Below are 12,098 nucleotides of genomic sequence, written 5' to 3' on the forward strand. Positions count from 1 at the left end.
AGAAACTTATTGGAAACTGGAGTAAAAGGTCACTTTTACTATGTCTTAGCAAAGAGCCTGGCTTCCTAGTGTCCCTGTTCTAGGGATTTGTAGAACTTTGATCTTGAGAGTGATGATTTAGGGTATCTGGTGGAAGAAATTTCGAAGTAGCAAAGCATTAAAGATGTTACCTGACTGCTTCTAATTCCTATGCTCATATGTATGGGCAAATAAATGACTTAAAGCTGGAACTTATATTTAAAAGAGGAGAAGAGCATGAAACTGGAAAGTTTGCAGCCTGGTCGTGTGGTACAAAAGAAAAGCCCATTTTTAGGGGAGGAATTCAAGCAGGCTGTACAAATTTGCATAAGTAAAAAGGGGCCAAGTGCTAATAGCCAAGACAGTAGGGAAAAGGCCTTGAGGCATTTCAGAGACCATTGTGGCAGCTTGTCCCATCGTAGGCCCAGAGGCCTAGGAGGACATAATGGTGTCGTGGGCCAGGCCCAGGGCCCTGCTGCCTTGCACAGCATCAGGACACTGTTCCATACAGCCCACACTCCAGCTCCAGCCGAGGCTCAAAGGGGCCCAGGTACAGCGTGGGCCACAGTTTCAGAGGGTACAAGTCATAAGCCTTGGTGGTTTCCATGTGGTGCTAAGCTGGCAGGTGCACAGAGTGCAAGAGTTGAGGCTTGGGAACCTCTGTCTAGATTTTGGAGGATGTATGGAAAAGCCTATTGGTCTAGGGAGAAGCTTGCTGCAGGGTTGGAGCCCTCATGGAGAACCTCTACGAGGGCAGCAGTGCAAAGGGGAAGTATGGGGTTGGAGCCTCCACATGGGGCACTGCCTAGTGGAGCTGTGAGAAGAGGGTCACCATCCTCCACACCCCAGAATGGTAGATCCACCAGCAGCTTGTATCTTGTGCCTGGAAAAGCTGCAGGCACTCAACGCCAGCCCTTGAAATCCACTGTGGGGGCTGAACCCTGCAGAGCCACAAGAGGAGAGCTGCTTAAGGCCTTGGGAGCCCACCCCTTGCACTAGTATGCCCTGGATGTGAGAAATGGAGTTAAAGGAGATTATTTTGGAGATTTAAGATTTAATGACTGCCCTGCTGGGTTTTGTACTTGCATGGGAGCTATAGTCCCTTTCTTTTGGCTTATTTCTCCCTTTTGGAATGGGAGTTTTTACCCAATGCCTATACCCCCATTGCATCTTGGAAGTAACTAACTTGTTTTTGATTTTACAGGCTCATAGGCAGAAGAGACTTCCTTTATCTCAAATGAGACTTTGGACTTTTGAGTTAATGCTGGAATGAGTTAAGACTTTCGGGGACTGTTTGGAAGGCATGATTATATTTTCCAATGTAAGAAGGACATGAGATTTAAGAGGGGCCAGGGGTGAAATGATGTGATTTGAAGCTGTGTGTCCACCCAAAGCTCATGTGGAATTGTAATACCCGGTGTTGGAGGGGGATCCTGGTGGGAGGTGATTGGATTGTGGAGGTGGATTTCCCTGTTGGTGCCGTTCTTGTGACAGTGAGTGAGTTCCCATGAGATCTGGTTGTTTAAAAGTGTGTGGCACCTCCCCTACTCTTCCTCTTGCTATGGCCATGTGAAGTGCTTGCTCCTCCTTTGCCTTTGGCCATGATTGTAAGTTTCCTGAGGCCTCCCTAGAAGCAGATGCTACTGTGCTTCCTGTACAGCCTGCAGAACTGTAAGCTAATTAAATCTCTTTTCATCATAAATTACCCAGTCTCTGCTATTTCTTTTTTTTTTTTTAATACTGAAAAGAGTTAACAGTGTATTATAATTTATTTTATTTGACAATCTAGGAAGTTCGCAGCCACCAGCAGTTCTAGTGCAGTTTCAGTGTAATTGGGAGTTTGGGAATCTCGGTGGAGCTGTTAGCGTAGTGAACCTGTGTGTAAAATACGTGCATACTTTTGATAGCACATGTGAAGGTACCTCTCTAAAACTGGCCTCATTGGTTTCGTTCTCAGCAAAATTGACCTGGGCCACTCAACATGGCTTTATCATGCCTGATGTTAATGCATGTTCTCTTTTTACAATAAATTCATGACCATCAGATGATATCAATTTGACATACATGGCATCAGGGCCTTCACAGCCACCCTAATAGGTTTTCTCCTCGCCATCCATTTTGTTCTTATGAAATTCTACTTTGCTTCCTCAGGAACTTTAGTAGTTTCCCAGAGTTCTTTTTCTGCCCCAGCTCGAGACTCACTTGTCTCGAGCCACCACAGCCTAGTCCCCATGTACTGCCCCGTAGCTACCATAACCCAGTCCCCATGTATGGCCACAGCCCCTATTCCAGGGCCACTCCCCCACCCTCAGCTGCCTCCCTGTCCTCAGGTATTTCTTTATAGCAATACGAGCACAGACTAATACAGATGGGGTCTCCCTATGTTGTTCAGGCTGGTCTCAAACTCCTGGGCTCAAGGGATCCTCCTGCCTTGGCCTCCCAAAGTGCTGGGATTACAGGCACGAACCACTACACCTGGCCCCGGAAAGCTTTTAATGTAGCTGTTCATAGCCTTGTGGAAAAGTTCTGGTTTAATTTTTTAAATAAATATTTATTAGTATTTTGCTCCAATCACATCAGGTATTGTAGTATTATTACTAGTACTGCTACCACCCCCACTGTCACTATTATTTCCCCACTGACAACTATCAGACACTACTTATTGGGCATGCACGATGTGCCGGGCATTGTGCTCAACCCTTTGCAATACGATCTCATTCAATCCTTACAACCATCCAGTGAAGTAGATATCATTACCCGCCTCTTACTGTTGAGGCTCGGAGAGCAGTTAAGTCACTTGCCCACGATCATGCAGCAACAAAGTGGAAATGCCCTAATTCTAACCCAAGTCAGCCTGACTCCAAAACCTATATCCTCAGCCATTATTTAATCTTCGGGGATGGGTGGTTCAGTGCTGAGAACAAAGACTCGTGTACCCTGGTCACAGCTTGTCACACACAAACCCCAAGCTCAAAGCCTCTGTGAAGTAAGAAAGGAACACGTTCATGCTGAGTCTTGGGTAAGGTCAGGAAGGCTGCTTGGGGTGGGCACGGTGAGTCTGCAGGGTCGGTGGATGATCTTGACAACCTTCTCCTTAGTTAAGCCTTTCACACAGTCCATTTTCTCCAATCAGCTGAGTGTTTGAAGGCCTGCAAGGCCCCCTGCTAGAGAAGATCAGGGAATCAGGCACTTGGAGCTGTCAGGGAGAAATATCTAAATCATTTGAACAGGTAATAATAGGATAGTGTAAGCTTGTTTAGTGCAAGGAAACTCGTTGTAACAGAAACCCCCTCCCAGCTCATCAACTTGCAGCTAAGGGATTTTCTGTGAGGTAGACACAAAGAAGACTTCCCCAGAGCCCTGGCAGTGAGGCAAGGGAGGGTCTGGGCCATCAGGAGCCAGAAAGAGTGAAGGTCCTGGCATCCTCAGGGGCTTATGAAAGACTATGGGAGTTGGGTTAGTGTGCTTTCACCTTAGACTGGGAGTTCCAAGATGGAGTCTAGTCTTATCTCAAGCATGTACTAACTATGTAAACTTGCCAAGTCACAGTTCTTTGGGCCTTATTTTCTTCCTTTCTAAAGTGAAGGCACTTAATTGCATGATTTTAGTCAGTTTTGACATACTGTCATCCGTAGAGACTTCTCAGCTGCAGCGGCAGTACAAGGGGGTCTTTGTAATGATTAACATGGGTATGGGGTATAGCTTGTGCTTGTCTTTATATATGTCATTTATTATTATTATTATTGTTTTAATTTTTGTTTTTTTGAGACAGAGTCTCACTCTGTCGCCCAAGCTGGAGTCCGGTGGTGCAATCTCAGCTCATTGCAACCTCCACCTCCTGGGTTCAAGCGATTCTCCTGCCTCAGCCTCCCGAGTAGCTGTGACTACAGGCCCCCGCCACCACACCCAGTTAATTTTTGTATTTTTAGTAGAGACGGAGTTTTGCCATGTTGGCCAGGCTGATCTCAAACTCCTGACCTCAGGTGATCCACCCACCTCGGCCTCCCAAAGTGCTGGGATTACAGGCGTGAAGCACCGCCCCCGGCCTTATTATTATTTTTAACTGTGACAAATGTGCAACCACCACCAACACTGGGATGTGGTACATTTAATTTTCACAACAACCCCATGAACTAGGTACTATTACTACCCCCATTTTTCAGACACAGACAGGAGGCTTAGAGAGGGTAAGTGACTTGCCCCAGGTCACACTGCCTTTAGGGGGCAGAAGTGAGACACTTATCTGGGTAGTTTGACTTCAAAGCCATGCCTTTAACCACTGGGCAGACTTTTCTCATGTTTTTGAGCAAGACTCACAGCAAGAAATACTTTTCCAAGCCTAACCCTGATTGTCCACAGATATATGCATATCAAATGGAAATACTTTGTACTGCATGCCCTGATAGTTCTTATTTTCTTTGCTTTTGGCTTTCTCTTTTGGGAGTGTCATTATTGTATTAGTTTCCTGTGGCTGTGGTAACAAATGACCGGAAGCCAAGTGGCTTAAAACAGCAGACATTTATTCTTTCACAATTCTGGAGGCCAGAAGTCTGCAATCAAGTTGTCAGCAGGGCTGTGCTCCCGCCAAAGGCCCTAGGGAGAATGCGTTCTGTGCCTCTTGCAGCATCTGGTGGCTTTAGCTGGTCTTTGCTGCAGTCTCTGCCTCTGTGGTCACGCTGCCCCCTCCTCTTCTCTGTGTGTCTGTCCTACGGATACATGTGGTTTACTTAGGGCCCCCCTGATAACCCAGTGTGCTCCTCCTCTCAGGATCCTTTGACTTAATCACATCTTTTGCCATGCAAGGTAACATCCAGAGGTTCTGGGAGTTAGGTCATGTGGGTCGCCTTTTAACCCACTACATTTATGGACTTGTGAATTTTTACAGATTCAGTGTATTTCAGTCAGTTCTCCTAACTATTCTTTTTGCATCTCAAATTGTCCCATCTTTGGCCTGTGGGAACCCCTTGGAGCCAGCCCCTGTACTCTTTTAAATTTTATTTTATTTTTCAGACAGGGTCTTGCTCTGTTGCCCAGGCTGGAGTGCAGTGGTGTGATCATAGCTCACTGCACCCTCATTCTCCTGGGCTCAGGTGATCCTCCCCGCTCAGCCTCCAAGTAGCTGGGGCTACACTCAGCTAATTTTTTATTTTTATTTTTTTGTAGAGTATGGGGTCTTGTTATGTTTGCCAGGCTGGTCTTGGCCTCCTGGGCTCAAGTGATCCTCCCGCCTTGGACTCCCAAAGTACTGGGATTACAGGTGTGAACCACCGCACCCGGCCCCCTGTACTCTTTAGGTGTGACCCCATCGGTCTGTGAACAAGCCCATGCTCTCTGACACAAGATGTCACAGGCTTGTGTGTTCCTGACCCCCAACCAGGAATTCCTCCAAGTCACCCTGATTTCTTTCAGTAGGAAATGACATTTCTGTTATTTTCCATTCTCTTCTATTTCATTAAAGAAAAACACTGATTACAATCTACTAAATTGATTTCACGGACCTACTTATGGGTTGTGACCCATAGTTTGAAAATCACTGTCCTGGGCTATTTTGTCTTTCTTTACTTTCTTCATAAATTTAGGAAATTCCTTCCCATCAGAAAGTGAGGTACCCTCAAAGGCAGGGTCACGTGTTCATCCACTGGCTCCTCCATGGTGGCAGGATGGGGTCTGCACACATGGGGCCTGCACCATGCAGCCTGCGTCCCATCCAGGGGCCCTCAGAGCTCCTGCTGCCCTCCGTGGCACCCTGCTTCTCTCTGGGCCCTCCCCGTTCCTCCTCCTCCTCCTCTTCCCCCTTACTCTTCTTCCTCCCCCTTCCCTCTTCCTCCTCCCTCTCCCTCTTCCTCCTCCCCTTTCCGCCCTGCCTCTCTCCATCACTGCCTGGACTTCATTTTGCCATTCTAAGAGGCTAATGTGAAAATTGCTCACAGATGGCATAAACAATATGGAAAAGAGCCTCTCTCTTCATTAGAGTAACACAAGATAGTGTTTTTAAGTGATTAAACTGTTATAGCAATAATTATGTTGAAATCTAAACATCTCATCACACTACTTTAACCTCTCACCAAGGGCTCTTGAGGTCCCCTTGGGGTTTGGCAGGGGCCACCCCAATAGAGAGCTCAAGAGCGGACTGTCTAGGCCTTGCTGGACCTTCCCCATGGGGCCCCATGGGGCAGAAATATCTGAGTAGTGTTGGGACCTCCATTGGTGCCCCCTCCCTGTAACCAGATGTAGAGGTCCTGGCCCCAAAGCTAGGCTCTAGCTGAATTTTTCTTTGGTGGCTATCCCATCCCCTTTGGCCTCCTCCTTGTCCCATAGCCACTCTCTACTCTGAGTAGCTGTAGGTGCTCCTAGAGGGCTGTCCTGCTTGCCCCTCCTTGCTGGCCACCCCTTGTTCTCTCAGCACCCTGCCCAGAGTCAGCTGGCACCGAGGGAAGAAAGTGGGTGAAGTCCTCTGCAAGACACAATTGCAAGACAGACACTTCATCTCGTACCCTGCCGCGGAGTCTGGGCATTCTCTAGAGCACCTTGGGAATTGCTCTCAACCTGTTCTTCCTCTTCCTCCATTAGCGTAGATCCTCATTTCTTTCTTCCAGGGCTGTGAAACAGCTCCCACCTCACCTTCTGCCCTTCAGCTTCTCTCCCTGCCTGCTGCTCCAGGAAAGGAAAGTATAGAAAGCTACACAGAAATAAAGACACCTTCATGTATTTGATTATCTTGGGGGGATGGGGTGCAGATTTAAGAGATTTAAGAGAGACCTAGAGAAGATGAAACGCACCTGGTATGAAAATTATAGACTAGCAATCATGCGCCTCATTTTAAATAAACATGTAAAAATAAGACTTAAGGCCGGGCGCGGTGGCTCACGCCTGTAATCTGAGCACTTTGGGAGGCTAAGGTAGGTGGATCACTTGAGGCCAGGAGTTAGAGGCCAACATGGTAAAACCCCGTCTCTACTAAAACTACAAAAATTAGCCGGGCATGGTGGCATGCACCTGTAGTCCCAGCTACTCGGGAGGCTGAGGCGGGAGAATTGCTTGAACCAGGAGGTGGAGGTTGCAGTGAGCCAAGATTGCACCACTGCACCCCAGCCTGGGCGACAGAGTGACTTAAGTTTCCTATGGTGGTTGGTCAAGGCAGTAAGGAAAGAGGGAAAGAAGGAAAAGAGGGAGGTCAGAGCAAAGGCAGCGGGGAATGGCAGATGAGCACCCGGCCGGAAAGGGGACACAGAGAGAAGAAGCAGAAAGGAGGGAGAGCAGAGCCGGGGGAGGCGGAGAGAGAAGGGCCATGATGTGAAGCAGCAGCTGGCCACCTACTCACAGGCCCTCCTGAGCTTCATTTTGGTTTAGGGATTCTAAGTGTTGTTGCCTCTTCTCACATCTGAGATGCTGATTAGTCAGCTCTTCCGTGGCTCTTTCTCTGGATCTTTCTGTCTCTCCTTTCAGTGGGCATAGCTCATCTTTTCAGTGGAGGAAACATTTTGGTCTGGGTCTCGGTGGGCAGAAGTCATTGCTGGCTTTTGTGCTCTTCCCTTCTTACCCCTGGCTCCAAACAGAGTGCCAGGGTGTGGTGGAAACTCCACGTGTTTGGGGGGAGGGTGGGCAGCTGGCTGGGTGAATCAGAACTTCCAGGTGGCAGCACTGTGTTAGAGGAAGGACTCATCAGGGTAGAGACAGCGGCAGATGGGGTGTGGGGAGGTGTCAGTGATGGCCACCCGTGCCCCACCTCAGGCTCTGATGAATGGAGGCTTCCCAGTCCCTCTTCTATTCAGAATCTACTTCTGATAAGGGACCTGACCAACATTTGAAGAAATATAAAAGGCCAACTTCATCTGCTGAGGTAGGATTACATCAAGGAGGATGAAATTAAAGGCTTTTCATGGAAAGAGATCTCCAGGATAATTTGATGGAAGACTTTAATTATTTCAGATTCAAAGTGTCCCCCCGCCCCAACAAAAGATGCTTTAGAAAAAGGATTCATTGATTTGGGGAGTCACATAAAAATATTATGTACATGTATCTCTTTGAGTCCTTAGAGCTGCTATTAGTCTAGAGGGCTGTCAGCAGCCCAGGGGAGGGGGCTTCAGTGGGCCCTGCCCCTTTCCTGTGTGCTGGTGACAGATGACCCAAGTCTCTGCCACCAAGGGAATGGAAGAAAGGCCAGGGAAGGGGAAAATGGGTTTAAATGATTTAGATGCGACCTCAGAAAGAACTTGGAACCATTTTACCTGCTTTAACTGGCTCGGCACACTTTATTGGAGGGAAACTGATGCGCTTCCCTACCCTTAGACGAGAGAGTGGCATGTCTTATGTGTGTGGGGAGGTGAACTCTTCAAGAGGTTGTGCTGTCTCAAAGCCGCACAGGGTGGCTCTAGGACCCAGGATCTTTTGGCCTTACCTTTGGTCCCCTGCCACACCAACACTGCTTCCAGGGTGCACTCAAGTCTCAAGCTCACCTTGATCCGTGCTTTCCCCAGGGAACAGTAGTCTCCTAGGCATCCCGGAGCTCATTGCATCTGTTCCTCTGCCTGAACGCCCCATTTGGATCCAATCTCAAGGACTCCGCAGCTGCTGTGCACTCATCGCTCTGGACACACGATGTCTGGAAAACTCTCTTGCTGGACTTCTGTGCTTTCTCCCTTGATCAGGGCTCGTCAGGAGGATGGCATACTCACATATCAAGGGCTTTGTAGGGCAAACAGATGAAAACAATTGTCTTATGATCTACCCTAAAGAAACATGGCTTGATGTGATTGACAGAAAGCCAGCCCTAGTGATGGTAAACACTGATGGTCAGCACACCGGTTCCTTATGTGCCAACTGACTCCACGGAGGCCCGAAGGGCTTCTCCACTGCCCAAGGCCCTGGGCAGAGGCCACGTAGCAGGCGGGCCTGGCCCTGTTTGTGCTGATCTGTTCTTGAGAGCCCCGGTCTGTGTGTCTGGGGTTGCACAGCTCAGTGTCCCTCTGTGTCACCAGCCCACTTTATCTACTGTTGGGTCCCCAGGGCTCAGCACAGAGTAGGAATTTCATTAATGTTGGTTGATGATAAACATTATGGAGCCCAAGTTAATCCAGTTCTTCCTTCATTCACAAGAAATTATCATTCTCGCCATTTACTTACAAAACTGATTTTAGATGGGAACCTGCACTTTCCCGGTCCTCTCCAAAGGAGAAGCCACACAGCGCAGTGCAAGGAGAGCACCAGGCTAGGAGTGGAAACCTGGCTTCTGGTCCCAGCCCTGCTTTGCACTGGCCCTGTGAATGTGGGCACTTCCCCTCCCCAGAGTCTCTGCGTGCCTCTCTGCATGTGGCAGGTGGGGTTGTGCTAGCTCCTTCCAGTTCTGATATTTCCCTCCCCTTCCCTGCTCAACCCTGTGCCTCCCAGAGCAACACCAGGCTGGGAGGTGGAATGAGCCCGGCAGTTCCTGGAGACAGTGGTTTCCTGGGGCCCAGGAGGCAGGCCCTGCTGGGGCAAAACTGTCAACATGGCTGCTGCCCCCTCCCTGAAGGGCCTAAGGGCAGGATGAGCTTGTGGCTTGGGGCCCTGGTGTAGCCCTGCTGGACCTCTGCACGAGGGCCTGGCTCAGTCTTGTGTGGAGTGCCTGAGCCAGATAAGCAGAGAGGGTCCCCAAAGAGCTGCTCCCATCTGGCTGCATCCTCCCCTTTTCCAGCATGAAATCATTCTTCAAGTCATAACATATTTCCTGAGGAATAAAGGTCAAGACAAACTTCAGAGTGAACTTCTGAACTCATGTCACGGTGCTGCTAGCAATTTGCTGTGCTTCTAATTCCCCTGAGCCTCAGTTTCCTTATCTGTAAAATGGGCCTGAGAATGCTCACTATGAAGATGGTGAGAGGCAATGTATATGAAGCTCTTTGAAAGGCACAAAGGGCTGTATGAGTGTCAGCCTCCGGGGAGAGGAGGCAGCCTGTGCCGGGGTGCTAATGCTCTGCTGGTGGCAGAGGGTGTGCTCCCAGGAGGGGTGTTATCCAGATGGCTCAAATGGGGTGAGAAACTCGGAGGCTTGGTGAGCTGTGAGGTAGAGGAGGCTGAGTGCACTCTGTCCCTGTCACCTGGCCCTTCATCTGACATCTCTGGCCCAGGCCACAGATTGGAGTGCTATTTTCTTCTATGCTTGGAGGAATCATCAATTTTGCCCCAGAAATATATCTTTAGCCATGGTCCCAGGAGCCCCCAGCCACCCCTGGCACTACTCCCTACCTCTTAGCTGCCCTTTCCCTTAGCGGAAACAAGGATGTGACTCTTGACCTGCTTATTTGTGTTCCCTGGGCCTCCCTGACCACCAGACACCCATCTGGGTAAAAACACACCTTGGAGATTGTAGATCCCCTGAAGCCAGGAGCTGTGCTCCCGAGGGCCCTCCTGACAACATGCGCCTTGTGCAGAGAGGGATAGCCATGGAAAGGTTGATGGTCATGATGACACAAGGGTTAGCAGTGCCTCCCTGGGGTCCTGGCCTGTTTCACTGATGGGTGGAGGAGGAGAAGGGACATTAGCTCCTAGGGGCCTGAGGAAGGCAATTTCTTGGGACCCAGGTGAGTCCAGAGGCCATGGCTGTGGTTTCAGCTGTGGGGCAGAGGGACTTCTCCAGTGAGGGTGAGAAACCTCATGCTCAGTTCTCTGTTTTTTCTTATACCGTGAAAAATAAATGTGAAGTAAAGAGGGTTTCAGGGCAAGATACATCCTTCTTCCCTCCCTCCCTTCCTTCCTTTTTAAAATATTTATTAAGCAAGCAGTACTTGCCTTACGCTGTGCTAGGACACTCAGAGTGGAGAATGCGTCTGCTGCCCTCCTAGGAACTCGCAGTCTAGTCAGGGAGATGAAATCACCACCGAGCAAGGCGGCAGAAGGAGGCACGCGGCCGCTGATGGAGCGGCACAGCCATTCAGACCTGGGTGAGCTTTGGGAAGCCTGGTGTAGCCATGGAGGGTGTTGTGGAGGAGGTGGCCCAGAGATGGGCTTCAGAGGATGGGAAGAAGTTGGAGAGGTGGGGAAGGTGGAGGGAAGCATAATTGAGAACAAAACTGGTATAGGGCAGTGGTTGATGATCTGAGTTTGAATCCTGTCTATACCATGAAATATCCATGTGGCCTTGACAATTTCCCTTCCTATGTGAGCTTCAGTTTCTTCATTTGAAAAATGAGGACAATAACAGTATCTATCTCCTAAGGTTGTTTGAGGGTTAAATGAAATAAAATGTGAACTACCTAGGGCCAAGGTTGTTCCGAGTACACGCATATTCAGAACACATTAGCTACTGTCGTTCCTGCCACTGCTGGTACGACTGCCCGACTTCTGCCTTCCAGTTGCTGCCACTCTGTCCTCCTGCCCTCCGTGCCTTGACCCTGCTCTGATGAGAAGGCACCTGAATCTCTCCTCTGGGCCACATGGGCACCTGGCTATGTGCTCAGGCTTCTGGCCAATCCCTGTCCCCAAGCAGAGGAAGCTAGAGCGCCTCCACCAGGTGTGAATTGAACCCAACTTCCCTCCTGCTCTTTTCCGATTGTCCTGCTAGGCAGAAAGTTTCCCTGCCAGGCCCGCTGTTGTTTGTATTGACAGCACCAGCCACCTTTTCCTTCCAGCGGCTCCCCATGCTGGGCGGCTGGGGAGTTGGCCTTTTGCTAGGAGAGGGAGCTGTGATGCCCTCAGAGGCATCTGCCCACCCCCTCGGGAATCTGACATTTTGTCTGCACCAGGGCAGGGGCCTCTCTGCTGACGGGGCCTGTCCCAGCTGTCCTAGTGCTAATCCAGTTTCATTGCACTGGCAGTTGGGCTGGCAAAGCTTTGGTGCAGGATACCCAGCACCAAAATAAAAGGCACCTGGCATTTGTGTGTGGGGGAGAGAGGGGCACTGTGGACACCACTCAGGAGGCGTCCCTTCCCAGCCAGGGTCTAGGAGTCCTTCTGAGCTCCTTCTGCAAGTAAAGTGGCTGGAAGGGTTTCCTCTCTTCCTGCCTAGCCCAGCCCAGCTGCAGGCTACAGAGTCATCCTCTGCCTTGCCCTGTGTGGGGACCCTGAACCCCCTCTTACCTGTCAGCCTCTGGGGCAAGCAGAAG

The 12,098-nt window shown here is 49.7% G+C and overlaps 1 protein-coding gene and 1 pseudogene across 21 annotated transcripts in view, besides 1 other annotated feature; one reads left to right on the forward strand and one right to left on the reverse strand.

The window, feature by feature from the left end:
* Window positions 1-12,098, forward strand: part of GRIK4 (glutamate ionotropic receptor kainate type subunit 4) — a 477,159-nt gene that overhangs the window by 106,388 nt on the left and 358,673 nt on the right. The window lies entirely within an intron of this gene.
* On the reverse strand, window positions 1,787-2,135 carry ELOCP22 (elongin C pseudogene 22; annotated as a pseudogene).
* Window positions 9,261-9,761: an enhancer, noted in NCBI's record as "H3K4me1 hESC enhancer chr11:120498105-120498605 (GRCh37/hg19 assembly coordinates)". NCBI's record gives its function as "activates a minimal SCP1, AML or CMV promoter by ChIP-STARR-seq in naive H9 embryonic stem cells {active_cell/tissue: H9 hESC(naive)}" and the evidence as "EXISTENCE:reporter gene assay evidence [ECO:0000049][PMID:30033119]".

This window comes from Homo sapiens, chromosome 11 (assembly GCF_000001405.40).
Source record: "Homo sapiens chromosome 11, GRCh38.p14 Primary Assembly".
NCBI classification, from domain to species: domain Eukaryota; kingdom Metazoa; phylum Chordata; class Mammalia; order Primates; family Hominidae; genus Homo; species Homo sapiens.